Source organism: Homo sapiens, chromosome 19 (assembly GCF_000001405.40).
Source record: "Homo sapiens chromosome 19, GRCh38.p14 Primary Assembly".
Classification (NCBI taxonomy): Eukaryota; Metazoa; Chordata; class Mammalia; order Primates; family Hominidae; genus Homo; species Homo sapiens.
Window position 1 is genome coordinate 1,753,506 of NC_000019.10, and position 27,492 is coordinate 1,780,997.

Genomic DNA, 27,492 nt, shown 5'->3' on the forward strand with positions numbered 1-27,492 from the left:
ACATCCTGGTGGCCGCGCTCGCAGCCGGGCCGGGCCGTGCGCCGCGCAGCCTGGCAGCCTCGCGCGCAGCCACCGGGGAGCGGGCGGGAGTCATGCAGCGGCCTTGAGCACTAGGGGCCGGCGCTGAGGAGCGCGCGCGGCGGGAGGGCAGCCGAGCATGGAGCTGAGCCTGGAGAGCCTGGGGGGCCTGCACAGCGTGGCCCACGCGCAGGCGGGCGAGCTGCTGAGCCCGGGCCACGCGCGCTCGGCGGCGGCGCAGCACCGCGGCCTGGTGGCGCCCGGGCGCCCGGGCCTGGTGGCCGGCATGGCGAGCCTGCTGGACGGCGGCGGCGGCGGCGGCGGTGGGGGCGCCGGGGGCGCGGGCGGCGCGGGCAGCGCGGGCGGCGGCGCGGACTTCCGCGGGGAACTGGCGGGCCCGCTGCACCCGGCAATGGGCATGGCCTGCGAGGCGCCGGGCCTGGGCGGCACCTACACGACGCTCACGCCCCTGCAGCACCTGCCGCCGCTCGCGGCCGTGGCCGACAAGTTCCACCAGCACGCGGCGGCCGCGGCCGTGGCCGGGGCGCACGGCGGCCATCCCCACGCGCACCCGCACCCGGCGGCCGCGCCGCCCCCGCCACCCCCGCCGCAGCGTCTGGCGGCCAGCGTGAGCGGCAGCTTCACCCTCATGCGCGACGAGCGGGCGGCGCTCGCCTCCGTGGGCCACCTCTACGGACCCTACGGCAAGGAGCTGCCCGCCATGGGGTCGCCGCTGTCGCCGCTGCCCAACGCGCTGCCGCCCGCGCTGCACGGCGCCCCGCAGCCCCCGCCGCCGCCACCACCCCCGCCGCTGGCCGCCTACGGCCCGCCAGGCCACCTGGCTGGGGACAAGCTGCTGCCGCCCGCCGCCTTCGAGCCGCACGCCGCGCTGCTGGGACGCGCGGAGGACGCACTGGCCCGCGGGCTGCCCGGAGGCGGCGGCGGCACAGGCAGCGGCGGAGCGGGCAGCGGGAGCGCCGCGGGGCTGCTGGCGCCGCTGGGCGGGCTGGCGGCGGCCGGGGCGCACGGGCCGCACGGGGGAGGCGGCGGCCCCGGCGGGAGCGGCGGCGGCCCCAGCGCGGGCGCAGCGGCCGAGGAGATCAACACCAAGGAGGTGGCGCAGCGCATCACGGCGGAGCTGAAGCGCTACAGCATCCCGCAGGCAATCTTCGCGCAGCGGATCCTGTGTCGCTCTCAGGGCACGCTCTCCGACCTGCTGCGCAACCCCAAGCCGTGGAGCAAGCTCAAATCCGGCCGCGAGACCTTCCGCAGGATGTGGAAGTGGCTGCAGGAGCCAGAGTTCCAGCGCATGTCGGCGCTGCGCTTGGCAGGTAGGAGCGTGGCGCGCAGGGCCAGACCCTGGGGGCGCCGGCTCTGGACTCCCGAGCACCTAGCGGGGCGGCGGCCGATGCCCGGGGCCAGCGCCCCAAGCCCCGCCCGTGCGCCCCGGCAGCCCGGGACCCCCTATCAGGAAGCTAGACCGCGATCCGCGCCGCTGCCCGTTTGTACCGTTGCCAAAAGGGAGAAAGGGATTGTGCCGCCTCCCCGCCCCCCGGTCGCCGCTTCTGCCCCTTTCGGGAGCGCGTAGGGGTTCTCTAGTCCTTGTTAGACTGCTGGGAGGCTCCGAGCCTCTCCCCAAGCAGCCCTCAGGGAAGCTCATTGTGTGTGTGCGTGTGTGTGTGTGAGCGCGCGCCTGTTGGGGGGAGCTGTGTCCCCGAACGAGCTGCTGTTGTCGGCTAAGGTGCCACTCCCCTCCTCCAGAGTGGGTGGAGAGGGGCTGTTGAGCCCCCAGCCCCGGGCCACAGAGCTCCGAGACGTTGCGGCGGGCGCCTGCAGCTCAGCAGCAGAGGCCGAGCCCGCGCTCATCCCCCCACCTGCCCCAGCGCGCGCTTCTTTGTAGTTCGGCCCCGCGATCGATACCCCCTCCCTCTCCCCTCCGGCCGCTGGCAAAGGTCACCCGAGAATGGCGGGGGAGGGGCGGCCCCGGGGACCCTCGGCCCGCGCCGCCCGGAGGCCTTCACACCCCGACCCGGCGCCCGCCCCGCGCAGTTTGGTCGTGGCTCGGGTGCGCGCGCCCCTGCCCGCCTGGCTTTGGGGTTTTGTGTCTCTCATGTCCACTTCTCTCCTCTCTCGGTCGGAACACACTGGTATCTCTATGTTTTTCTCTTGCTCTCCGTTTTGCTCTTGTTCCTGCTCATTATCTCTTCTCCCTGTCGGTCTCTCCGCCTCTGTCTCTGTCTCATACTCAGCCACCGGCCCCCTGGGGACCCTCCTCCCTCCTCCCTCCCAGCTGACAACAGCTAAGTCCACACCTGCCCTCTGACAGGCAGCCCGGCCAGGCCCCCATTTCCTAGGTGGGGGTGTAAGGGTGCAGGAGGGCCCCTGGCCTAGGTGGGGGTTTCTTTCCCTGGTGGTGCTGGGGAGGGGGCTGTCCACCCGGGCCACAGGGACAATAGCCGCGGCGGCTGGCGCCTGATCGATCGCTTCTCCGAGCACAAGGGCGAGAAAGGCGGGGGCTCTGGGAGGCGCCCCACTAGCAAAGAGGCAGAGGGGCTTGCGGCTGTGCCCCCAGGCAGCCCGTCCAGGCAGGGGGGCTGGGCGAAGAGAGGACAGCGGGGTGTCCTGTGCTGTTCCTCCCTAGAAAGCCATTCCCTCCCTCCACCCCAGGAGGACCAGACAACCCCCTGGGAGCCTGGACCCACAGGCCGGCCTCAGTTTCCCCCTTCTGCAGAGCAAGCAAGGTGACTAGCTGGAACCTCTTATGGGATTCTTAGATTTTTCTGCTTTGGGGCACGGGAAAATAAATAGTCTTTCGCGTGTGGCAGGGTAACCTTGTGCTCAGGGAGGTCCGGGAACCTGGACGATTTCAGTCTGTCCTGCTCCCCTCCCCATGACACATACAGCGGCACTCGTGCGCTCACCATAGACCGGCGGTCATATCCGCACACAGCCACGGCCCTCGAGGTGCAGTGCGAGGCCTCAGGTGGCAGAGGGCACACCCCTGGCAGCTCTATTTATTTATTGAGACGGAGTTTCACTCTTGTCGCCCAGGCTGTAGTGTAGTGGTGCGATCTCGGCTCACTGCAGCCTCTGCCTCCCAGGTTCAAGCGATTCTTCCGCCTTAGCCTCCTGAATAGCTGGGATTACAGACGCCCGCCACCACGCCTGGCTATTTTTTTTTTTTTTTTTTTTTTTTGTATTTTTAGTAGAGATGGAGTTTCACCATGTTGGCCAGGCTGGTCTCAAACTCCTGACCTCAGGTGATCCGCCCGCTTCTGCCTCCCAAAGTGCTGGGATTACACAGGCTTGAGCCACCCCGCCGGGCCTCCCTCTGACGTTTAAACACCAACTGGTTGCCATCACACCAGTAAGGCAGGGACAGTTTCTATAGCCCGATACCCACCACCTCCTGCCTCCTCTCTAGCACATATTTGGGGGACATTGTGTCCACCGTGGGTGCACCCAGAGTCCACACCACTCTCCATTTTTCCCACTGTCACGTTATGTAACTAATGACCCATTAGCAGTACTGGAATTGCAGATTTGGGGGCCACAGAAAACATCAGCCAGAGCGTCACAGAAGGGCAAACCGCAGGCGAGAAGTCCCATGGGGGGGGGGTGGGCTCCCCGCAGCCGGGTCAGCAGCACCCAGCACCCGCCCTGAGTGGACACCGCCTGCTTCGCCTGCACCTGACCCTGCACCCAGGTGGGTGTTCGCTCCTGCCGACCCCACAGCCATCCAGGCCTCCGCCGTCCCCTTTCTGCCACGGGGAGAGTTGCAGATGGGGAAACAGGCTCCGTTTGTGCCTCGCCTTCCTGACTTGTGACAATGACAAACAGTCTCAGCTCTGGGAGTCTGGGTTTCCTGTCGAGGAAGGGAGAGTTAGAACAGTCGCCGTCTCAGGGGTGCGTGGGGGAACCGGAGGGGTGAGCGCAGCTCCTGGCACCCCGAGCCTCCCGCAGGGCGCTGGGGCGTTGAGGATGATAAACCCGGACCACGCTGCCCGCCTGCTCTCTGCCGGGTCCGCTGCCCACGCCGTGGCCCCGCCGCGCGGCCCCGCGGCCGCGGGGTTCACGCCGTCAACCTTGCGCACCTGTCGCGTCTCAGGTGCCCTGGGGGCCGCGTCTACACCACCGGACTCCGCCTGGGGCGTAAGAGGTGGCGGGGGCGAGGGCCGCGGGGTCACTAGGCTCCGGCCCAGGCCTTTAGTTCCGGTCGCTGCGCAAATGAAAAGCGGTTAAGTGGCGGCAAATCGCGGCGGTTAGGGGGAGACGGCCGGATGCGTCCCCATCTCCACCTAACACGGCGACGCCCCAACGCTGGTGCTCGGAAAGGGAACTCTGCCCCCGCCCCGCCCCCGCACCATTTCAACCCCGCAGCAGAGGACTCGCCGCCCTTTCTACTCCGGCATCCCCATTCCCCGCTCCGCGAGCACCGCGGGCCTCCCCAGGCCTCCTCCAAGGAGAACTTTGCGCCCCGGGTCTCCCGTCGCGCTTGCCCGGCTCGGGGCGGGCCACGCGTTTCCGCAGGTGCCGAGTGTCCTGCCGGGCGCCGGGGCCAGGACAGAGACGGGGACAGGGAGGGAGAAAGACCCGCAGGTGCAGACGGAGAGGGAGGGGGAGACGGGGAGATGGAGAGAGAGGGAGGGGTCGCGAGACAAAACCAGAGAGTGGGGAGGGAGAGACCGGGAGCGGGAGAAACAGACGGGGAGAAGAGAAAAAGAAGCCCAGAAAGGAACAGAGGTGAAGGAGAGACGAAAAGAGAGGCAGAGAGACCAAAAAAAAAAAAAAAAGAGAGAGAGAGAGAGAGAGACAGAGATGGGAGAGGAACTCTGGGTGCTGGAGGCTGCCTCTGTGTCCACCCCCGCCCTCCCACAGCCCCCTCCTTCTTCCCCATGGGGTAGGACTTGGGAGAGGGGAATAGGTGTTTTCCTTGTTTCACCAAAGCACGCAAGAAATCCCACCGCAGACCTCGGAGTCCCGGCCCCACTGCCCGTTCTGCGTGCCTCAGTTTACCCATCTGTAAAATGTGCGTGTGGTGGGCCGAATTCTGGGTCTGACACTGTCAGATTCTGGACCCCGTCGTCTGGGAGTCCTGCAGCCCCCAAGCCCATTCCCATGGGGCTGGGAGCCTCACCCTACCCCCACCCCATGGTCCTCCGAGTCCCGCACTTCGGAGCTGCCTCCTGGTCAAAGCTCTCCCCTGGCGCCGTCTCCAACAGTAATTATGGGAGAGGGGCTGGGGGAGGGGCGGGCGGGCTCCTCGGCGGGGGTGGGGGCGGTCGATGAATTCGAATTACCGTCTCTAATTCATCACCGTCGCCGGGTCGATAGCTTCGGCCGTCTTCAAATATTGTTTAAATTGCAACTCCGGAGGAAAAGTATTTTTTGTAACTGATCAGAAAAAAAATACGTATATAGATAATACAAAGTTAGATGGAGGTGGTTGAAAGAAGGGCCTCATCTCCTCCTGTGGGCACCATGGGGAGGCAGGAGCCCAGAATCCCTGAGGGATGGTGGAGCCCAGCATGGAGGAAACTGAGGCAGGGAGGACCCCCCACCCCCACCCCAGGTGGATGGGATGCTTTGCCCTTAAGCAGAACGAAGTGTCCTAGGGACAAAAACCAGAGCTGTGTATGGAGTTGCATGCTGAGGGCAGCTGGTGCAGGAATTGGGCACCTCTGTTTGGTGGTGGGTGAGCAGGGGGGATGCCAGGGACTGGGGACCTGAGGGGAAGGACATGGAAAGGAAAAAGAGGCAGAACCTCTTCCCCACCCAGGCTCATACAGGCCCTCCCTCCCCGGCTTCTCCCCCCTACCCGCTGCCACCATCAAGGGCTGAGGTTGAAATGGGCGAGGCAATCTGGGAGTCCCCCTTAAAGGGACAGGTGTCCACCCCCCACAAGCACTCTGGAACCCCCACCCAAACTCTGGATGAAGGGGAGGGATGAGCAGGGAGAGGAGGAGGAGGAGGAGAGGGAAGGGAGGGAAGGAAGGGGAGAGAGGAGAGAGGGAAAGACCCCTGTGCCTTTTGCAAAAACCCCACTTTCCACTGCAAGGGGTCCACGCCTCTTACGGACACCCCCAGAAAAATATGCCCCACGCCACTAGACAGTAGAGATAACCAAGGTTGGGGGCTTGGAGACCCGGGCCTTCCCTGGGCTCTGTCCCTGGCTGATCCCTGGCAAAAGGACTTGAGCCTCAGTTTTCTTATCTGAGAAATGGGCAGAATGAAATGACGCCTAGGAGAGGGGGTATGAGGGGCTGGAGGGGCTCAGGGGTCTGAAGGGGCCACCGTAGGTTTCCACAGGGATGCACGGAGTGTGGATAGACCGAGACCGTGCCCAGGGCCACGAGAACCAGACCCACGTGGGGCTGCGCGCGAGACTCAGGTGACTCTGGTGCCCCCACACCAGCACCCTCCCACAAAACTTCAGGGCCCGGGGAGGAGCAGCCCTAGCTAGGGACCTGGGCCAGGATCAGGGATCAGGCTCCCGCCTCCCGTGCAGAGGGGGAGGGAGATGGGGAGGGGTCCCACTGGATGCCCACAGCCCTTCCCCTCCTCCTCAGCTCACCTGCCCGGAACGACATTTTGAACCCGATGCGGTTCCCATGCCCACCCTACAGACCAGCAAGCTGAGGCCGAAGAGAAAGGCGCTTGCCAGAGCCCCGCACTGCTTCTGATGCGGAGTCAGCTTCCGCTAGGAGGGGCCGTAACAGGACCAGGGCGTGGCTTTCGGCTGCTCTGACCCCGCTGAGTCTGGTGGGCCTAACACTAGGCTGGAGATGCCCAGGCTCCCTGACCTCCAGCAGAGATGGGGGAGCATTCCAGGAAGGTGACGCTTCGGGACGAAGTCTTGGAGGTGTATTGAGGTCAAGGACCACAGAGAAGGGACCGGCGGGGGGGCGGGGGGTGGCACTTTCCACGTTCTCAGCCACTTGGCCGATCCTCAGGTGGGGCCAGGTGACCGGCCAGTTCCACCTCCCCACCCCACAGGAGCCACATCCTTTAGGGGTGGTGAGGCCTGCGCTGCGCTTCCCCCTGTGCCCCAGCTCCTCCAAGTATGATGATGTTGTGGGCATGTGAGTCCTCTCACCTGGGAGACCACCGGAGACTCCCAGAGAGGATGGGCGGTGGGGGGGGGCCAGGTCCCAGCCTCATCGAGTCCAGCTCAGAGCCCCCAGGACCATCCCCGCTTTTGCTTTTCCCAGCAGACCTCCCCCTCCCAACGCCAGCCTCGGTCCCAATAATTCCTTTCTGTAGCCTGGGAGACAGGGACGCTCGCCCCCAACACAGAGGAGTCTGGGGGAGTCTCTTGAGTGGTGAGGGGCTGGAGCTGGCCTTTGGCTCTGAAGTCCTCTTAGCCTGAAGTCCTAGAAGTAATCATGACCATTCATTCTTCTCTCTGAATCTCCCTCCCATTCCGTGCTGCTTCTCCAACAACCATTACCACTCTAGTCTAAACCACTATGGTGGTCTCCTCCTCCACCTCCATCATGGCTTCCCAGCTCCATTCCTGCTCTTTTTTTTTTTTTTTTTTTTTTTGGAGATGGAGTTTTGCTCTTGTCGTCCAGGCTGGAGTGCAGTGGCGCAACCTCGGCTCACTGCAACCTCTGCCTCCCAGGTTCAAGTGATTCTCCTGCCTCAGCCTACCAAGTAGCTGAGATTACAGGCATGAGCCACCACGCCCAGCTAATTTTTGTGTTTTTAGTAGAGACCGGGTTTCACCACGTTGACCAGGCTGGTCTCAAATTCCTGACCTCAGATGATCCACCCACCTCGGCCACCCAAAGTGCTGGGATGACAGGCATGAACCACCGTGCCCAGCCTTCTCCTCCTTCTCACTGCCGTCTCCCCCACATCCTAAGGGAGCTTTGCATGGCCACTTTGGGTTGGCACCCCGGGTTGGCACCCTGCCCCGTGGCTCCCCAGAGCCCTAAAATATAAATGTGGTTTCCTGTGGTGGCCTACAGTGCCTGACCCTGGCCTCCTGCGTGGATGTGGGAGGGGACTTCTGGCCGGTGGGACCAGCAGGGACAAAGGCTGGGAGGTGGGAAAGTCCTGAGCAGCTGTTAGGAGGGAGGCTGAGCCGGGCAGGTAGCCCGGCTTACCCGGGAGAGCTGGCGCTGGGTGGAATCAAGTTCTTAATTAAATATGGGCCCTGATCAATAGGGAGGGAAGCACTGGTGGGGTAGGGGAGAGGCTGAACAAGGAGCCAGGGAGACCCACCTGACCTTGGGCAGCCTTGGGACACCTACGGCCTCAGTTTTCCCTCTGCCAAGTAGGTGCTAATGTGAGAGGGGCTGAGAAACCGGCACCCCTCCTGAGTCCCGAGTGTGGGCAGATGTGGGGGGCGATGGGGGACCCCTCCGAGCTACCAAGTCATGACCTCAGAGCCACAGATTCACAGAAGAGAGAAACAAAGACTGGAAGATGTGCCTGGCACAGGCTGCTGGAGAGGCGTGCCCGGGTCACAAGTGTAGACGCACCCGGAGACACGTGTGTAGACGCCTCCGTTCACACTGGGACGAGTGCAGACTGACCCAGGACCCCCATCCGCCCTCTGGCAGTCTTGAGCCAGCAACTCCCCTAAGTGGGGTGCGGGGACATCTGGAAGACGCCCCATCTCCCCCTGGACGCAGTGGCTGCGCCATCTGGAGACCCTCGTGCTGGCTGCTGGGGGTCCTGCGTGCCTTCCGCGCGCCCCCAGCTGCGCCCGCCAGCCCTCCAACCCTCCTGCCCTCCTGCCCTCCTGCCCTCCTCTCTGGGAGTCGGGACAGAAGCTGCTGGGCTCTCCTCCCTGGAGCTGGGGCTTTGGGAAGGTCGAGTAGACCCTCAGTGAGTGGGATGCGCGAGTTGGGGACGCTAGTTGCGGGGCAGCAGGGGTCCACGCATTTCCAAGCGCCCTTTCCCGTCCAAGGACCTGCTGGGGGGATGACTGTGCCTCAGTTTCCATCACCCAGCAAACGCCGTCCCGCAGCACCCGGGAAGCTGCGGAGTCGGGCTGGGGCCGCCGCGTTGCGCACATCGGTCCTTGGCGGGTGTGTGGATCCCAGAGCGCGCCCGGCCCCCAACAGCCTGACAGGACCTGGACGCACGTGCCCCGGCGCCAGGAGACCCGGGACCCGGGACCACGCGCCCGCGGCCTTGGAGCCTCAGGGTCACTGGTGCGGGCTCCGCAGGAAAGCGCAGCCCCCAGCAGGCACCCACCATCCCACCCCCGCATCCCACCCCAGGGGAAACCGCGCCGCACCAGGCGCGAGTGTTCTTCTTCCTTGTCTGGCGCCCCAGAACCGCGGCCGTCCTGGGTGCGCTCAGCTCCAGCGCAGTGGGAGGACAAGACACGTTCCTCCTCCCCTCCTCCACCTCCCTTGTTTTTGCTCCCTGGTTCCCTAAAATATTCTACATTCTTTTGGCCCGGCGGGGAGGCTCAAACCTGTAGTCCCAGCACTTTGGGAGGCCAAGGCAAGAGGATCTCTTGAGGCCAGGAGTTCCAGACCAGCCTGGGCAATAGGGAGACCGCATCTCTATAAAAATGTTTTTAAATTAGCCAGATGTGGCCGGGTGCGGTGGCTCACGCCTGTAATCTCAGCACTTTGGGAGGCCGAGGTGGGTAGATCATCTGAGGCCAGGAGTTCGAGACCAGCCTGGCCAACACGGCGAAACCCCATGTCTACTAAAAATACAAAAATTAGCCGGGCGTGGTGGCACATGCCTGCAATCCCAGCTACTCCGGAGGCTGCGACAGGAGAATCGCTTGAACCCAGGAGGCAGAGGTTGCAGTGAGCCGAGATTGCACCATTGCACTCCGGCAGCCTGGGTGACAGAGTGAGACTCCATCTCAAAAAAAAAAAAAAAAAAAAAAAAAAAAAATTAGCCAGATGTGGTGGTGTACATCTGTGGCCCCGGCTACTCAGGAGGCTGAGCCAGGAGGATCTCTTGAGCAAGGGAGGTCGAGGCTGCAGTGAGACATGACTGCGTCACTTCATTCCAGCCTGGGCAACACAGGCTGACCCTGTCTCAAAAAATGATAAACAAATAAATAAATCGACATGATTTTACAATAGTTAACGCATTCGCCAGTTTCCGAATTTCAATGCAAGATGAGGTGGCTTCCATTGCCCTCCCTTCTGCAAATCACAGTCTGTATTTCTCCTTCTTGCAAAAGGCTGCGCTCCAGGGATAAATTCTTTTTATTTCCCTTTTTTGTTTTTTTTTTTTTTTTAACAGAAAGGGGAGCTTCAGATGCTCCGAGATTCTTCCCCCCGGCTCAGATCCGTGAAGCGCGCATCCTGGTCATTTTTGCCGGCCGCCTAGTACTCTCTGACTCGGCGGTGGTTTCAGGTTTTCCTGAACCACTTCCCCGCCCCGCTGACATTTAGGCTGTTTCCAATCGTTCGCGGTCACCATAGCGGCTGCAATGAATACGTCCGGGGCGGATCATTTTACGAGTGTGAGTTTATCTGTGGATTAATTTCCCAATAATTGAAACGCTGGGTCAGCCTCCCCAGCCCCTTTCTGGGTGGCCGCTTCAGCCGCTTCTTATCACTGATTCCTTTCCTGTCATCTTTTTCAAATCCATTTCCCACTGCAGGCGCTGTGTCTCCGTAACATTTTTTTTAAAAATCAACGCCTTGTGCGTGCGTGTGTTTGCCCACTGGCTTTGCTCCTGTTTGAGGGTGCCTGAATGGGGTGGGTCTCTGTAGCTGAATGTCCGAGGGTGAGAGGTGCCCCCTGACACCCCCATGCCCCCACCCCATGGCGGCCCAGCCTCCAGATGGAGCCACGAGGGAGGGACAGCCCGAGAGTCCAAGTGGAAATGCGTTTCCCGGTTAAGTCTTTGAAGGCTCAGAACTAATTTGAAAATGCAGTCATTAAAATCCCATCAGGGGAGGCTGGCGGGGAAAGCTGGAGGGAGAGGGGTGGGGACAAGAGGGAGGCTGGGCGCCTGCTGAGGCCAAGGTGGGCTCCGCGTGAGATGTGGGCAGGGCAGGCATGGGGAGGGTAAGCCACCCAGAGTGGAGGGGTAGTGGGAACAGAGTGGGGCCAGATGAGGGGCTGGGGAGGCCTCTGGGGGTCCACGCCTGGGGCATGACTCAGCCCCATCTCCTTGGAGAAGGTTCCACTGCCTCCCACCCATGGGAATCAATTTTCCAGCTCCCCGAGGGGTGCAGGGTGTAGACAGAGGGTGTAGGTATGTGACCCGGGCCCCCCACAGTAACTGGACATGTGACCTTGGGCAAGTCACCCACTGACTCGAGTCTGGAGAGGCCACGGGGGGGGGATGCGCAGGGGGGACAAGACACCAGCATGGGGGTGGGGGGCATCAGTACAACCCACATCTGGGGCAGGGCAGCTGGTGGCGGGGACAGGACGCGTCGCCAAGGAAACCGGTCATCATCCCAGCCGGAGACCGGGCTCCATATTGAATTGTCTGCTCCCTGAAGCCAGAGGTGGCTGAGGGAGGGGATCTCCAGCTCCAGGACACAGGGAGGACGGGCACACAGCGGGGTAGACTCACGTGGCTTGGTGGTTTGGGGCACTGTACAGACTGTCGGGCACAGAGGGACATGGGATGGTCACTTGAATCGCCCATTGCTGCATCCTGGGGCGTCTTCTTCTCCCTTGGGCATTGCCCAGCTGGTCTCCATCTCCTCTAGTTGCTCTTTGATCTCCTCCCTGGACCTTGGGGACCCCCCAGGAGCCTCCACATCCCTCCCGTCCTGGTGCCACCCTGGCTTGTGTCTCTCCTGCCGTGCCGCCCCCAGCACTGCTGGCGTCCACTGGGATTCAGGGACCTTCCCTCCAGCTGTCCCGAAGCCTGGGCCTGGTCTTCTGGTCCATCCTCCCTCCCAGCCAGCAGTGTATCCACTCGAAGGCCTCAGAGAGCCCAGTGGAGCCCGCGCCTCCCCTCCAGTACCCACCCAAAGGCGTCCTCTCTCCCCCTTTCCTGGACTCAGAGCGGAGCTGGCCTCCTCATTGGGGAACAGAGTCCCAGGCAGCCGCCGCTTCACGCTGTCCTGTGACTGTGAGTGGAGGCCAGCTCCTGGAGCTGCCTCTCTCTGGCCTCACGCAGCAGCTGCTCCCTGAATGGTGAATGGATGAGTCGGTTGCAGGTCCGTGCTTCGGCGTTCATTCCTTCGTGACTCTCGGGACTGCGGCCCGGTGGGGACACAGGGCTCTGGGTCACTGCGTCCACTTGATAAACCAGGAACCTGATGTCCAGAGAGGCCAGGGTGCGCGTTCAAGGCCACTCGGCCCGCAGAGCCCACCCGCGTCCCCATGGCTGCAGTGGTGAGGGGAGCAGGGGGAGGCAGAGAGGAGCCCACCCTGGGGCTGGGCGGACATGGATGCGTAACCCACACCGCAGGCTTCTGCGGGGTGACACCCAGACTCACCCCAAGACCCTGCACACCCTACAGCTCTCACGTCTCACGTCCACACCGCGAGCCAGCTGCATCCCACACAGGGATGTCACACCAAGATCCGTTGCCTCATCCACCGCCCGTCCAAGGCCCCACAAGCTGATGCCGGTTTTCCCGCCCAGAACTGGAACAGCTTTCCTAACGGTCACAGGTTTCTTAGCTTCTCACTTGGGTGGGGTTTGGATGTGCAAGGCTGCCGACCCCCATCGTGGTTGAGCGCCCGTGCAGGCGCCACCCACCCACCCACAGCACCTCGCTCAGACTTCGCCCTCCACCCCGCCGGGACATTTGGGAAGCCTCAGGCAGCCCCACGCGGGCACACCCGATGGTGGACGGAGGCTGGCACCCTCAGCCCGCACGCGGCCAACGTCAGGCGCGCGCAGAGGCACCCACGGGCCCGCCTTCAGGGGCGAGGCGGATGCTGCATCCTGAAGCCCTCCCTGTTACAAGCCCAGCCCCTCCAAAGGCCTCTGGATGAAGGGGAGGATGAAGGGGGAGAGAAGGAGGAGGAGGGGGAGAGGGAAGGAAGGGAAGTGAGGGAAGGAAGGGGAAGAGGGGAGGGAGGTAAAGAGAGGGAGGGAAGGAAAGGGAGGAAAAGAAAAGAGCAGAGAGGGGAGAGGGAGGGAGGGTGAGTGGAAAAGGAGGGGTGAGGAGGAGGAGAGGGGATGGTCCCCTCTTGGAGGGTGATGGGGGTTGACAGGTGGGCCCCAGCTTGGGTTGCAGCAATGACTGAATTCAGGGCCCCTACTCAGCTACTGGCTTCCTGCTGAGGGCACTCGGGGAGCCCCACTGTCCCACCCGGCGCTCCAGGGCAGTGGCTACTGGTCTTCCGCAGCAGGGTCTTGCAGGCTGGGCTGAGACCCCCCCCCCATGCTCCACCACCCTCGTGTAGGACAACCCAGGAACATGTTAGTCACTGCACACTCACTCAGCCACTGCTATACCTCCGCTCTGTGCTGGGCCACAGAAAGATCTCAGGCCCCACGAGGCTAAAAGGAGGAACAGTGGCCCCTGGGAGTCCCAGAGGAGGGGCCCCGGGCTCCGCTGCGGGGGGAGGGAGGGACTTCCTGGGGAGAGGCCATTGCTCCTGGGCGTTGAGGAATGTGTAGGAGTTCTCTGGCTGGAGTGACCCAACTTTCTACTCTTGGCCCCAGTTTCTCCATTTCTCCCCTCTCCAGGAAGATCCTGAGAGAAAACCTGAGGCTCAAGGCCTTCCTTGAGGGAGGGGGAAACTTCGTGGTTGGAAGGCAAGTGTCGCCCAGAGCCCAGCTCCTCTCAGGGACCCCCAGATGGGAGCTGGGAGCCTCTTGTTAGCCCTGCCGTATTCATTCAGGACTTTTCTGGCTAGACCCTTCCCCACAGCCCAACCATGATCAAGACCATCTTACAGTTGGGGAAACTGAGGCTAAGATGGTCCAACACCAGGCAGGGCCCAAGAGGGCAGCAGGTCAGACCACCCTCTTGGGCCCCGGGGTGGTTGGCTGTCCCCAGCAACTTTTAGAAAGGCAGGAAGTGGGATAGAGCTGGTGTGTGTGGGCCAAATCCCAAGGGGTCTGCAGGAAACGCCTTCATCCGGAACTTGAGGGTCTCCCCCCAGTCCAGCCCCCTTTCCCCCGCATGAGACACAGCCTACAGCCCCCGCCCTTTCCTGGGTTGGGGCGGGGACGGCTGCCCTCTGCTGGACACAGCGGGAACAGCAGGGATAACTGAGCGAAGGGGCGGCCACATCCCCGGGACCTCCCCGCCCAGAGATTTCCTGATCCCACCTGCCCAGAAAAGAAAACGACCCTTGTTGATGCTGGGGGCGGCGGCGCAGGCCCAGGACGGTGCCCTGGGGCGGGAGGCTGGATGCTACAGTAAAGCCACCATGACTGCGTTTGCCGGGCTCCCTGTGCATGGGCTCAGATGTGGGCATGGGGTCTCCGTCTCTTCTAGTTGATCTCTGATCTCCTCCCAGGGCCCCGGGGACCCCCAGGAACCAGCCCCAGATCCTCCTCATCCTTAGATTCCAAAAAGACTGATAACCGTTGGGGAGATGGGATGGGTGGTGTACCTGGAGTCCTCAGATCAGAGCCTCTCGGGGGTGATTGCTCCTGGAATCAGGGCCTCAGTCCCCAGGGTCCTGGAGGAGGTGCAGGGCTGGCTGCATGGAGTGGGCATCCTGTCAGGACCCAAACCCTCACTCAATGGGGCCCCTGGACAGAGCAGGTGAATTGTTGTAAAAAGAAGGGGTGTGGCAGGGGTGACAGGGAGAGTTGTGGGATTAGACAAGGGGTGTTGGGGTAGCCTCGCAGGGAAGGAGATACCTGAGCAGAGACTAGAAGGAGCTGAGGGGGGCGGGAGGGGACTTGGGGAAGAGCAACCAGGCAGAGAGAACCGTCGTGCAAAGGAGCTGAGTGAGTGAGGCCAGCGGGGGAGGCCAGACAGAGAGGCGGCTGGTGGTGGATGGGGAGAGGGAAGCGGCTGGAAGAGCTCAGGAGCCCAGGAAGGACTGGCCTGCACCGGGACATGCCTGAAGGGGGCGCACTGTCTTTACAAAGGAAGGGACTGAGGCCTCCAAGGGAATGGGACTCGCCTGGGGTCCCAGAGCAAGCTTGACAGCCTGGCCCCGCCCCACTCCTCCGCCAGCTTGGTGGCCAAGGTCTGTGTTGGGGGCCACTCTCTATCCCCCCGACTACAGGTCGGGAGCTGCTGGTGATGGAACCAGGGGCTGAGTATGCAGTGCTGGCCACATACTAGGAGAATCCCAGGATGGGGTTCAGCAGTGTTGATGAGGATAATGAAGGAAATCAGGGGGAGGTGAAGAAAACAGAGGAAGGGGGTGAGTAAAAGAAAGGTCATGGAGGAGGTGTGGGGAGGTGGAAGGTGGAGGTGATGGAGGTGGTGATGGGGGTGGAAGGTGGAGACGATGGAGGAGGTGGCGGAGGTAGAGGTGGAGGTGGTGGAGGTGGAGGTGGTGGAGGTGGAGGTGGTGGAGGTGAAGGTGGAGGAGGTAGAGGTAGAGGTGCTGGAGGTGGAGGTAATGGAGGTGGAAGTGGAGGTGGAGGTGATGGTGGAGGTGGTGGAGGTGGAAGTGGAGGTGGAGGTGACGGTGGAGGTGGTGGAGTTGCTGGAGGTGGAGGTGGTGGAAGTGGAGGTGGAGGTGATGGAGGAGGAGATGCTGGAGGTGGAGGTGATGGAGATGGAGGTGGAGGTCGTGGCGGTGGAGGTGGTGAAGGAAGAGGTGCTGGAGGTGGAGGTGATGGAGGTGGAGGTGGTGAAGGAAGAGGTGATGAAGGAGGAGGTGGAGGTGCTGGAGGTGGTGGAGGAGGAGGAGGTGCTGGAGTTGGAGGTGATATGGAGGGTGTGATGGGATAGCACTGACATTGGTGGTGCAGGAGTGATGGTGGAGGAGAGGACGGAGGTGGAGACCTCATTGGAGGCTGGTGGAGGTCGCGTGGCAGAGGTGGCAATGGTGGGCCCTGGCAGCATGAGGCTGGTGGTTGGTACCAGGGCCAAGTCCAGGGCTTCACCCCCGTCCCCACTCTGAACCCCATCAGTCCTTCTCTCCAAGTCTCAGTTTTCACTTCTGCACAAGGGGTCCATAACCACCATGGCCTCTGGGTTGGCACAGGGGTGGCCTTTAGGATTGGTGTGGGGGTGAACCTGATGTTGGGTGGGGTGCTGGCGGGGGTCAGGTGGCGGTGGTGATGGGTAGGGGATGCACAGAGGGGGCATCCAGGCGGCCCCCCTACTCCAACTCACACCTCTGTCAGCGGCTGTGGGGGATGGGAGCAATGACAAAGCTGCTCGCGGTAAACAGCTCCGACTGGATCGATCTGGGCTGTGAGGAGCTGTAATTAGATTGAACGCCGGGAAGGGGGGCAGCAGAGCCTCTTTTTGCTGCAATCGACAAAACGGGAAGTTTTTTCAGACTCTGCCTGGCCCGGCCCCTCCCCCAGCCTCTGCCTCTGGGGTCCCCATTAGGCACCAGATTGGAGCCTGGGAGGTGGGGTGGGAAAGGGACGATATGCATCCTACCTCCCTCCCCCATCTAGGCCAGTGGACTCTGTTTTCTGGGCTGCCCTATTGGGACTGGCTGGGCAAGCCTGAGGGGTGGCTCACATTCTCTGAGTAAATAAGGAGAAAACCCCCTGCCTTGTAGAATTATTGTAAGGATTGAGGCTGGGTACTGTGATTCATGCCTGTAACCCCAGCACTTTGGGAAGCTGAAGCTAGAGGATTGCTTGAACCCAGGAGTTAGAGACCAGCCTGGACAACATAGTGAGACCACATTTCTACAAACAAACAAAAAACATATATATATGTTTGTGGGGGTTTTTTGTTTTTTGTTTTTTAATTAGCCAGATGTGGTGATGTGCACCCGTGGTCCCACCTACTTGGGAGGCTGAGGTGGAAGGATTGCTTGAGCCCAGGAGTTCAAGGATGCAGTGAGTCATGATTGCACCACTGCACTCCAGCCTGGGCGACACAGCAAGACCCTGTCTCAAAACAAAACAAGAATTATTGTTAAGAATTGAGTGACCAGATACATATAAAGCTCTTGACACAAAGCTCTTGTGAGCTTTCTGAGGAGCATTTGTATTTCTGTCCCTACTGTAAATGTAGGATAAATTTGTGAGTAAATTGCTAAGTGAATGAATAAATGAGTGAGTGAATGAATTAAACATTACAACAGGTGAGCGAGAAGGGCCTCCCTTGGAATTTCAAGGCCCCGGTTGAGTTTTGACTCAGCTTTCCCTTTGAAAGAATGGAGGACTGGGTCCTCTCCTGTAATCCTCATAGGGTGGCCGAGTGCCAAAGAGGTGAGAGGTCAATTCAGTTTTTTGCATTTCCTTCCATGTTTCTTTATGCAGATAAAATATAAACATAGGTTCTTGTCTCTCCTTTCACACATAAAAGGCTCCCTGGTACACTGTTCACCCTTCAGGATTTCCTTTGCCATCTTTCCAGATTCATACCCATACTCTCCCTCTCTGTCAGTCTCTCAATATAATTACAAATACAGTCTGTTGCCTAAATTAACATTTAGTAATTAACATTATTACGCTTTTGGAAAACATTGTCCACAGCTGAGCCATGTAGAGTACTAGGACTGCATTTCCTTTCCTGTACAACTCTTTGGTTTTCCAGGAGTTGATAGCTGCCAAACAAAAATTCTTCCCACGCTCCCCAACAAAATTTAAAACCAACTCAATAGGACTTTCCACACATATTAGGTCATCTCTGATCTGGGTGGGGCTGCCCTCCATACCCTGGGTCCTTTTGTCTAGCTGTCTTCCAGGGTCCCCCTCATCCTGATTTGGAGGACCCCTTTTCTCTTTCAGCTAGGTTGGATCACATTTTCTGAATCCCACACCATCCTTTTTTTATTTACCTCCTCGTTTGAATGGAACACATCCTCCAGTAGCTTTCTGAGAAAGGGTATGTGGGAAGTTAAGTTTTGGAGTCCTTGAACATCCGATTATATCTTTATTGCACCTTCATGTTTGGTCTTTTGTTATTTAGCAATTCTAGCTGAAAATAACTTTTCCTTGGAACTTTGAAAGCCTTGCTCTGTTGTCTGCTAGTTTTTGCACACCCAAAGCTGCTTGGATTCTTGATCCTTTGCATGACATCTGGCTTTCCTCTAGGCGCTTTTTAGGATTTTCTCTTTATTCTTGGTGCTCTGAAATTTCACAACAACGAGGCTTGAGTGTCTTTTTCATTCAATGAGCTGAGGACTTGATGTCCCACCCCCATTTTTTTAGAGCTGGGGTCTCGCTCTGTCATCCAGGCTGGAGTGCAGTATCATGATCATAACTCACTGCAGCCTTGACCTTCTGGGCTCAAATGATCCTCCTACCTCAGCATCCTGAATAACTGGGACCACAGGTGTGAGTCACCATGCCTGGCTAATTTTAAATTTTTTGTAGCAATGGGGTCTCACTATATTCTCCAAGCTGCTCTCAACCTCTTGGGCTCAAGTGATCCTCCCACCTCAGCCTCCCAAAGTGCTGGGATTAGAGGCATGAGCCACTTCATCCAGCCTATTTAGTTATTATTTATTTATTTATTTATTTATTTATTTATTTATTTATTTTTGAGACGGAGTCTCGCTCTGTTGCCCAGGCTGGAGTGAGTGGTGTGATCTCAGCTCACACCTCTGCTTACTGGGTTCAAGCGACTCTCCTGCCTCAGCCTCCCCAGTAGCTGGGATTCCAAGCACCTGCCACCACACTCAGCTAATTTTTTTTGTATTTTTTGTGGAGACAGAGTTTCATCATGTTGACCAGGCTGGTCTCGAACTCCTGACCTCAAGCGATCCACCTACCTTGGCCTCCCAAAGTGCTGGGATTACAAGAATGAGCCACCATGCCCAGTGGGCCTATTTATATTTAAAAATTATTTATTTTAAAAGAGAGTCTTACTCTGTCACCCAGGCTGGAGTGCAGTGGTGAGATCATGCTCACTGTAGCCTTGAACCCCCAGCCTCAAGTGTTCCTCCTGCCTCAGCCTCCCAAAATGCTGAGATTACAGGCATGAGCCACTGCACCTGACCACATTTAAACTGGAAACTCATCTTTCAACGCTAGATTTTTTTTCATTATTTGATCATCTCTTCCTCTATTTTTGAACTGTCTCTTGATCAGGTGACAACCCTGCTTCATCTTAATTCATCCTCTAACTTTTTATTCTCTTTCATTTCCCATCTTTGCAGCTGCTTGTGTTCCATTTTCTGGGATATCTGCTTTACTCTTTTTTTTTTTTTTTTTTTTTTTTGAGATGGAGTTTCACTCTTGTTGCCCAGGCTGAAATGCAATGGCACGATCTTGGCTCACCACAACTTCTGCCTCCCAGATTCAAGCAATTCTCCTGCCTCAGCCTCCCGAGTAGCTGGGATTACAGGCATGCACCACCACGTCCAGCTAATTTTTTTTTTTTTTTTTTTTTTTTAGTAGAGACAGGGTTTCACCGTGTTAGCCAGGATGGTCTTGATCTCCTGACCTCGTGATCCGCCCGCCTCGGCCTCCCAAAGTGCTGGGATTACAGGCGTGAGCCACCGCGCCCGGCCAATATCTGCTTAACTTTATCTTCCAGTCCTTACATGGAATTATTTTACTCTGGCTGTTATATATTCACATTTTAAGAGCATTTCCTCACTCTCTAATGGTCCCTTTTACTTAACAGCATCCTGTACTTGTTTCATGGATACGATATTTTTCTCTTACTCCTCTGGGAATATTAATTATAGCTTTGCCTGCCTTGTCGGTTCCTTCTGAGTTTATTCCTCCCCCACCAAACCATTTTTCTCCATTGTTCTCCCCCCTCCTGCCTCCCTCCCTCTCTCTCTCTCCCTCTCTTTTTCATGTTAGACGCTTTTCTAAAATGTGCAGTAACCCACAGGCATCACTTGCATTTAATCATAAAACCTGAAACCGCAGTTAGAAGCCCCACACATTCCAGGTCAGAGGGAGTGAAGTGTGCGTCAGCTCACACCCTAGACGGGTGAACCTGTTGTCCCCGAGACATGAGTCATGGCAGAAGGAACATTCATTTATTTCTGTGGACGTGTATGGACATTGATCTAGCATGTCATGTTCCAGGCTGTTCTGCAACGAAAAGAAAAGCTCTCTGTGCCATTCCAGTAGGCCACGACGGCTGGCACAGAGAAGAGACTGGGAGCAGAGACCCACTAGTACTACCTGCACCACCGGCCACTTCTGGGGGTCACAGAGTAGCTGGAACTCCGGGATGGAGACAAGGGCAGGACAGCCTCTTCAGCACCACAGTCCCAGTCTGGATGCAGGAGAGAAATTGAGATTCTGATGGAGTTTCAAGCTGATGCCACAAATGAGCCCATCTGACTTGTGGCCCAGCTCCTAGTGGGGGAAGCCTGTGTTTTGTACCCACTGACACCCACTGCATTGAGGGGAGGGGTTCACTTCGCTGCTGGAGCAGGAAGAGCAGGACTCGGCTTCAGCCCTGCCCCATCACCCCGAGCCTTTGCTTTTCTCCCCTTTGCAAGTGTCTGGTCTGCAGGCCATGGGGCAGCCTCCTTCAGCCCTCTCCGTGATCTGTGCGGGCTGACCAAGAGGAAGGGTGACCTGCTCATCTGGGAGAGGAAGAGGTGGTCCCTGCACTCTCCCCTCCTCCTCCAAAGTCTTCTTTCTTAGATGTTCTGCGCTCCAGAGGGTCCACTGGGTGCTCGAGGGAGGCCAAGTCTGGGTGGTCTCAGCCTGTGGATAGGGGCAGGAGCAGGAGGCAGGGATTCAGATGTCGGAATTGGGCTGTGGACTCACAGGGTCCCTAAGGGTATCAGGCCTTACAGGAGTGTCGCTGCTGCTCATTCGTAGAGCTTGGTTGTCACAGCCAGTTGCCATGGCACACACCTGTAATCCCAGTGCTTTGGGAGGCTGAGGCCAGAGGATCACTTGAGGCCAGGCGTTCGAGACCAGCCTGGGCAACATAGCAAGACTTCCCCTCCGCAAAAAAAAAAAAGAAAAGAAAGAAAGGAAAGGCCCTGGTTAGCCCACCATTTCTGGGGAAGGCTGCTGGGTTTTGTGATGCACCCCAGGACCTAGTAATTAACCAGTTATTTCACCCAAGTCTACACTGAGCCAAAAACTCTCATGTGCAGTTTCCATGTCATTTCCCCAACACCCCCAGGTTGGGGCTGCAGAAAGGAGAGGAGAAAGTTACCAATATCAATTTCTGTGGTCCTTTAGGTAGGGAGCGTTTGAGGGTAGGACGGGGTTTGGGGGGTATGAGGCTTGGGGGGTGCCTGAGTGGGCTCCATGGAGAAGGGGGCTGGAGGGGGTGGTAGCCATGCCTGCAGAGGGGCACTCACACTGTGTCCCCTTCTTTGTCCTCCCCCCACCCCCACCGCATCTGCTTTCCCTGCCTGTCCTCGCCTTCCATTCTGTCTCCACCGCCCTCTGGCTGCATCCTGGACTTTCCTGTTGTCTCCCTGTTGACCTTGCTGTTTCCCTGTCTCTGTCTCTGTGCGTCCCTGTGTTCCCCGCTGTCTCCCCCTCCGCCTCTCCCTGCATTCTTGTTGCTTCTGGGCTCTCCCTGGGACCTTATGTGCATTCGCCTTTCCCCAACGTGTCCCTTCTCCCCTCCTCCTCATCCTCCGGGCGGCGTGCGCCTCCTGCCTCTCCCCGGCCGGCCACACGGTGGCGCTGTGTCCCGCTCGCCCGCCCGCCCGCCGCTCGCCCGCAGCCTGCAAGCGCAAGGAACAGGAGCAGCAGAAGGAGCGCGCCCTGCAGCCCAAGAAGCAGCGCCTGGTGTTCACCGACCTGCAGCGACGCACGCTGATCGCCATCTTCAAGGAGAACAAGCGGCCGTCCAAGGAGATGCAGGTCACCATCTCGCAGCAGCTCGGCTTGGAGCTCAACACCGTCAGCAACTTCTTCATGAACGCGCGGCGCCGCTGCATGAACCGCTGGGCTGAGGAGCCCAGCACGGCCCCCGGGGGCCCCGCCGGCGCCACGGCCACTTTCTCCAAGGCCTGAGGCGCCCCGGCCCCGCGCCCTCCCTGCCTCCACGGCCTGGGCGCTGTGCCCCCACGTCACCTCCCCACATCCTGCCGGCCCGGAGACCCGCCCCCAGGGGGCACCTGGAGGGGGTGCTATCCGGGCCCCCCACACCCGGGGAGGGGGAAGCAGCACACCCCCCAGCCCAAGTGCACAAAAAGGGCCCCCCTTCCTCCCTCCATGCCCACTCCCTCCAGGCCAAAGGAAGCCCTCCACCCCCCCCCGGAGGGGAGGGAGTGACAGAAAGGGGTTTCCCAGCCCCCTCTCCATTCAGGACGCCCAGAGGGCCTCGAGAAAAACCAGGGCTCACTGTGTTGTCCCCTAAAGCGGGTCAAGAAGCACATACTAGAAATATAAACCGGGTATTTAAAAATGGAATTTTAAAGAATAACCCCTCCTCCGTCAGATCCCCTGCCCCACCGAGGGAGGTAGTAGAAAACTTCCTTCCTCCCCACCCGCCCCGGCCCCCTCCCCAGGGACCTCAGCCCTTTCCAAAGTCGCCAAAAACCCACATCAAGCCGGATCCTTACGGTCCCCCACCCTCTCCAAAACCAACCCCACCCGCTGGCAGGACGGCCCCTGCGGCCGAGAACTGAGCTGCCCCTCTCTGCGGCCAGGATTCCTCGTGCCAAGAATCGCCTGCCTTAAAGTCTGGGGAGGGGCCTGCGGCGGGCGCCCAGCACCTACGGGCGAGCACCCTTCCCACCCCATCCCAGGCCGCAGGGGACGGGGGGCTCCCACGTGCGGGTAAATTCCAGACGCCCCCGCCCCGCCCCGTCTGTTGAGTTCACTTTACCTTTAGGCACCTTCGTGGAGCGCAAGGAAGGACGCAGCTCCGGACACGGGAGACCACGCCCAGGCTCCCAGGAGAAGGGGACCCGGCCGGAGAAGGCGCCGCTGGGGCCGCCCGGAGGAGCCCCTCTGCACGGGCCCGTGGAGACGCTTCCTGCGTGGAACCTTCTGGAATCCACCGCCCCCCTTTCCGCCCGCGTCAGGGTCTGAACTGGGCTTGCAGGGGGGCAGCGGGGTTGAACGTGGTGTTGGTTTCCACTCTCGCCAAAGAGAGAAGACGCCGAGGAAGGTGGATTCCGCTTGCTCCATTTTTTGCCAAAAATATTTACAAATGGGAAGGGTCGGAAATGAAGATGAGCGCCCCCCTCCCACCCCGCGCTCTCCCCCGCTCCTCTCATCTGGTCTGGGTGACCTCCGAGACTGGCCGGCCGCGGGATCCCAGGAGCCCGCCTCCTCCGGGGGTTCAAGATCCGAGTCTAGAAGGAACCTCCTCCCTGAAATCCCCCCACTCATCGGCTGCCTCCCAGGGAGGAGGCGGCCCCCCTACCCCCCTTGAAAATGCAAAAGACATTTCTAGTGAAATGCCCCTCCCCTCCCCCAGGTAAAGGCTACCTCACTCAAGCTCATGTCTGTGATTGGAAAATCACGCCTGATACCAAAGATTTCTCCCAAGGATTTGTGCTGGATGACAGGATTCCCTGGCCTGGGACCCGGCTCGGGGCCCCGCCTGCCGAGTGCCACCCCTTCCCGAACCTGAGAGCGAAAGAGAGAGAGAGAGAGAGGGAGAGAGAGGGAGAGAAAGGGAGAGAGGGAGGGAGAGGATCGTGAGGTCGAAGAGTGCCTTCTTCTTGAACCAAAGACGTGTATGGAGTGTTCTCTTGTCCTTATCGACTTGCTCTGCTCCCAGCTTTCCAAGCGACCGGATCTGAGTGATGCTTCTAGAACATTTGGGTGTTGGGGGGTTCCCAATAGTAGAAAGGGTCCCCATTCCTGCTCAGCACCGCACCTCTCTACCCCCCCACAGACACACATGCAGACACACACATGCAGACAACACGCAGACACACACATGCAGGCACTCACATGCAGGCCCATGCACACACACGTGCACACACATGCAGAGACATGCAGACACGCAGGCACACATGCACACATGCAAAGACACGCATGCAGGCACACGCAGACGCACACAGAGACACACATGCAGATACACATGCACACACACATACACACACTGGCCCCTGTTTTTCTGTGGTGTCACTGGGTGCCAGCAACTCGGTATCTCCCACCTCCCACTAAAACCTGGGCCTTAATTTCTCTCCCGTCCCCACCCCTAAATTCCTGATGGATGAACCTAGAGCTGTCCTGTCCACTCCAGGCCGGACTGACGTAGCCTATGGGCCCAGCAGGTCCAGGGCCCACGTTTTAATTTCTTTTTAAAAAGCTTTAGGTCTTGCCGGGCGCGGTGGTTCACGCCTGGAATCCCAGCATTTTGGGAGGCCGAGGCGGGTGGATCACAAGGTCAGCAGTTCAAGACCAGCCTGACCAACATGGTGAAACCCTGTCTCTACTAAAAATACAAAAAAATTAGCTGGGCGAGGTGGCAGGCACCTGTAATCCCAGCCACCTGGGAGGCTGAGGCAGGAGAATCTCTTGAAACTGGAAGGCAGAGGTTGCAGTGAGCCGAGATTGCGCCACTACACTCTAGCCTGGGCAACGAGAGCAAAACTCCCTCTCAAAAAAAAAAAAAAAAAAAAAAACTTTAGGTCCAAGAAGATGCACCCCATTCAACATACCATATTATTTGTCTTTATACCAAGGTAGCCTATAGATATACAATGTTTTAAATTTCTTTTTTAGAAACAGGGTTTTGCTCTGTTACCCAGGCTGGAGTGCAGTGGTGCAATCGTAGCTCACTGCAGCCTCGACCACCTGGGCTCAAGTGATCCTCCTGCCTCAGCCTCCCAGTAGCTGGGGCCACAAGCACACCCCACCATGCCCATTTAATTTTTTAAGGGATTTCTTGTAGATATGGGGTCTCACTATGCTGCCCAGGCTGGTCTTGAACTCCTGGCCCCAAGGGGGTCCTCCTGCCTCGGCCTCCAAAAGTGCTAGGATTACAGGTAGATAGACATTTAGTGGAGGAAGAGGCTCTCAAAGGCAATAAAATGCTTCTGATCCAAGAGAATCACGCTGCAGCCCTGGCCCAGTGAGCTTCTTAGAAAATCGATGCCTGGGCTTCAGGCACTGGCCGGAGCACGGGCCTGGCGGGGTGCTGGGTCTCCTAGATGCCCTCTGCTTGGCCTTCAAGGCCCCAAGGGTAACACGCTAGGGGGCCTCCAGTTTTGTCCCCTGCTGGAAATTTAGGACTTGGCTTGGGATCGTTCTGGTTGTGGAATGTTTTAGCTATGCTGAACTGTGGTCAGATCAGGTCAAGCCTCTTGGTCACAGAAGTGGCCCAGCAGCACTTTGGGAGGCCGAGACAGGAGGATCGCTTGAGGCCAGGAGTTTGAGACCAGCCTGGGCAACACAGCAAGACCCCACTTCTACAAAAAAAAATAAATAAAGTGGCCCAGGACTCCTGGATCCTTTTCAGATATCTTCGTATCACACACACACACACACACACACACACACACACACACACACACACACCCCTACCTGTTTCCGGACCCCACCCCAAACTTGGCCAGACCCCCACAGAAGGCTCTATCCCCGACCTGCCCGCCGGCCCCTCAGGCCCTCTCCTGCCTCCCCGCATGCCCACTTGGCTGTCACATACCAAAGAGCATGCGTTCTCCATGCAGGGATCAACACCTCCAGCACAATTCCTTCGAGCCTTTGACAATTTTCTCTGAAATACCTCAAAATATTTAATGTATAGTTTATGTGATTAAAAAAAAATCCTTAGCTAGTTTTTGGAATACGTGACTTGAAGCTTTATACCGTTAAATTATAATTTTGCAGACGATGGCATGTCGTTTCTTTGACGAGTTCCGTGGGAGACGCATTGAATGTCAGGGCTGGAGACCAGAGGGAAAGTTAGAGGGAGCGTGATCGCGAGAGAGACTGCGGCAGAAAGGACCAGTGGCGTTTACAGATTTCTTATTTAAATGAGTCCTTTAGGAAAGAAAGGAAGAGAGAGAGAGAGCGAGCGCAAGAGAGAGAGAGAGGGAGAGAGAGGGAGAGGGAGAGAGAGAGGCAGAGGTATACCTTTCTGTTCTCTGGCTTGTTCTGTTTCTTGTTTTCTGGAGTCATGTCTTATAAGAGTATTTATTATTCTCTGTGTTCTGTGTTCAAATGTAATTTAAGAAAAAAAAAGGAAGAAAAATGCAAAAAAAAAAGACAAAATGGAATTTGAGTTGGTGCATGACTAATGTACTCTTTCTTGACGCTAATTGTAATAAAGTGGTCAGGGTGGGGGGCGGGGGGCGTGGCCCGGTTCCGTGTCGCATCTGTGTGTCTGGTGCCTGATCGGTGCTGTTCAGTGGTTTTTCGTTACTGTTTCTTTCCTCCTTTCTAAGGAACTGTGTCCAGCCGGGACAGGTGGACGGGGCCCCAGGTAGAGGGGGCGGGAACAGAGCCTCAGTAGCCGGGTCTCCTCCACCTGCCTGTCCATCTCCACCCGAGATGCCACCTGCCTGCCCCAGCCAGGCGGGAGCCACCGAGCGTCCCCCCCTCAGTTCCTGGTTCTTGGGGGCACTCTGGTGTCATCGATATCTTAGACCCCCCCAACCCCCCATCACCCGGTTGCTTTCACTCTAGCATGAATTCCCAAGTGTCTTGTTCAGAGGAGACAGACAATCAGCCTATTCTTGTCTTGTTGCCCAGGGTGGTGGGGGACGGGAGTGTGCCCCAACTTCCTGAGATCTGAAGGACCCTCCTGAGGGCCCCAACAGCAGGCACCAGCACCCCCTCCCCCCCCACCTCCACCCAGACAGCCTCGGCCTCCCTCCCTGGGCTGGGCATGAGTCCGCCTTTCTGTCCAGCCCGGGAGGCAGGGGGTGTACGCCTGCAGAGACCCCTCCCTCCCAGCCCACTTTCGGAGCCTACAGAACAGAGGACTCCCCAAAATCATCAAAGGGGGCTCTGGGACAATGTCCTCTGCCTCTGACTCCTCTTGTGCCATGAGGCCACGTCCCTGAGCCATCCCCAGATAGTCCCTGGAGGTGGAAAGGGGCACAGATGTGCCAGCTTGGGAACAGAGGCTGGAGGAGAGGGCGGCAGGGGAGAGATGAGAGGGGCCGCTTTTGGGACAGGCCCCAGTAGGGGGGGGCGGGGTAGCTAAACGGGGTGCTTCTCACCCCATAAAGCAGCAAGCCCTGGTCTGGAGGGCTGGGCCTGGGGCTGAGGGCTCAGCTGACCTCAAATCTGAAATGATGCCGGGGCCAGGATGCTCCTTGCACCAGCAGGAGCTTGGGCCATTTCACATTCTCTGCCCCAAGCGGTTTAAGCAAAATCAGGCCAGTAGACTCCTGGGGCTCCTCCTCGTGGCCCTGTCAGACCACGCAGGGGCTGGTTTTGGTGGAATGAGCTCAGCCGGGGGTGACGGAAGAGCCAGGAGGCCCTGCGGCCTTGAGTGTTTTGAATAGACTGGAACTGAGGGCTGCTTTCAGGGGAGACACCACTTGGACCCTCCAAAGTCCCCTCCCCTCCAGGGACAGGGGAGAGAAGCCCTTTTCCACCTTCACCCTTGGGCGACAGGCTTAAAAGCTAAAAAAAAAAAAAAATCTCGTCAT

At 58.8% G+C, this 27,492-nt stretch overlaps 1 protein-coding gene and 1 long non-coding RNA gene across 2 annotated transcripts, besides 5 other annotated features; one reads left to right on the plus strand and one right to left on the minus strand.

The window, feature by feature from the left end:
• Positions 1 to 27,483, plus strand: ONECUT3 (one cut homeobox 3). Its single transcript, NM_001080488.2, has 2 exons — positions 1 to 1,349; positions 21,648 to 27,483. The coding sequence occupies exons 1-2, from the start codon at positions 158 to 160 to the stop codon at positions 21,938 to 21,940; spliced, it is 1,485 nt and encodes a 494-aa protein (NP_001073957.1). The 5' UTR covers positions 1 to 157; the 3' UTR covers positions 21,941 to 27,483.
• Positions 3,697 to 4,286: an enhancer, noted in NCBI's record as "H3K27ac-H3K4me1 hESC enhancer chr19:1757201-1757790 (GRCh37/hg19 assembly coordinates)". NCBI's record gives its function as "activates a minimal SCP1, AML or CMV promoter by ChIP-STARR-seq in naive H9 embryonic stem cells {active_cell/tissue: H9 hESC(naive)}" and the evidence as "EXISTENCE:reporter gene assay evidence [ECO:0000049][PMID:30033119]".
• Positions 4,287 to 4,874: an enhancer, noted in NCBI's record as "H3K27ac-H3K4me1 hESC enhancer chr19:1757791-1758378 (GRCh37/hg19 assembly coordinates)". NCBI's record gives its function as "activates a minimal SCP1, AML or CMV promoter by ChIP-STARR-seq in naive H9 embryonic stem cells {active_cell/tissue: H9 hESC(naive)}" and the evidence as "EXISTENCE:reporter gene assay evidence [ECO:0000049][PMID:30033119]".
• Positions 8,943 to 9,479: an enhancer, noted in NCBI's record as "H3K27ac-H3K4me1 hESC enhancer chr19:1762447-1762983 (GRCh37/hg19 assembly coordinates)". NCBI's record gives its function as "activates a minimal SCP1, AML or CMV promoter by ChIP-STARR-seq in primed H9 embryonic stem cells {active_cell/tissue: H9 hESC(primed)}" and the evidence as "EXISTENCE:reporter gene assay evidence [ECO:0000049][PMID:30033119]".
• Positions 12,297 to 12,818: an enhancer, noted in NCBI's record as "H3K27ac-H3K4me1 hESC enhancer chr19:1765801-1766322 (GRCh37/hg19 assembly coordinates)". NCBI's record gives its function as "activates a minimal SCP1, AML or CMV promoter by ChIP-STARR-seq in primed H9 embryonic stem cells {active_cell/tissue: H9 hESC(primed)}" and the evidence as "EXISTENCE:reporter gene assay evidence [ECO:0000049][PMID:30033119]".
• Positions 14,113 to 14,807: an enhancer, noted in NCBI's record as "H3K4me1 hESC enhancer chr19:1767617-1768311 (GRCh37/hg19 assembly coordinates)". NCBI's record gives its function as "activates a minimal SCP1, AML or CMV promoter by ChIP-STARR-seq in naive H9 embryonic stem cells {active_cell/tissue: H9 hESC(naive)}" and the evidence as "EXISTENCE:reporter gene assay evidence [ECO:0000049][PMID:30033119]".
• On the minus strand, positions 16,262 to 20,845 carry LOC101928543 (uncharacterized). The gene is made up of 5 exons (XR_007067085.1): positions 20,753 to 20,845; positions 20,531 to 20,662; positions 20,129 to 20,222; positions 19,938 to 20,035; positions 16,262 to 16,325 (listed from the first exon to the last, which is right to left on the minus strand). It is a non-coding gene; the product is annotated as an uncharacterized LOC101928543 (long non-coding RNA).
• Positions 27,484 to 27,492: the final 9 nt, after the last annotated feature.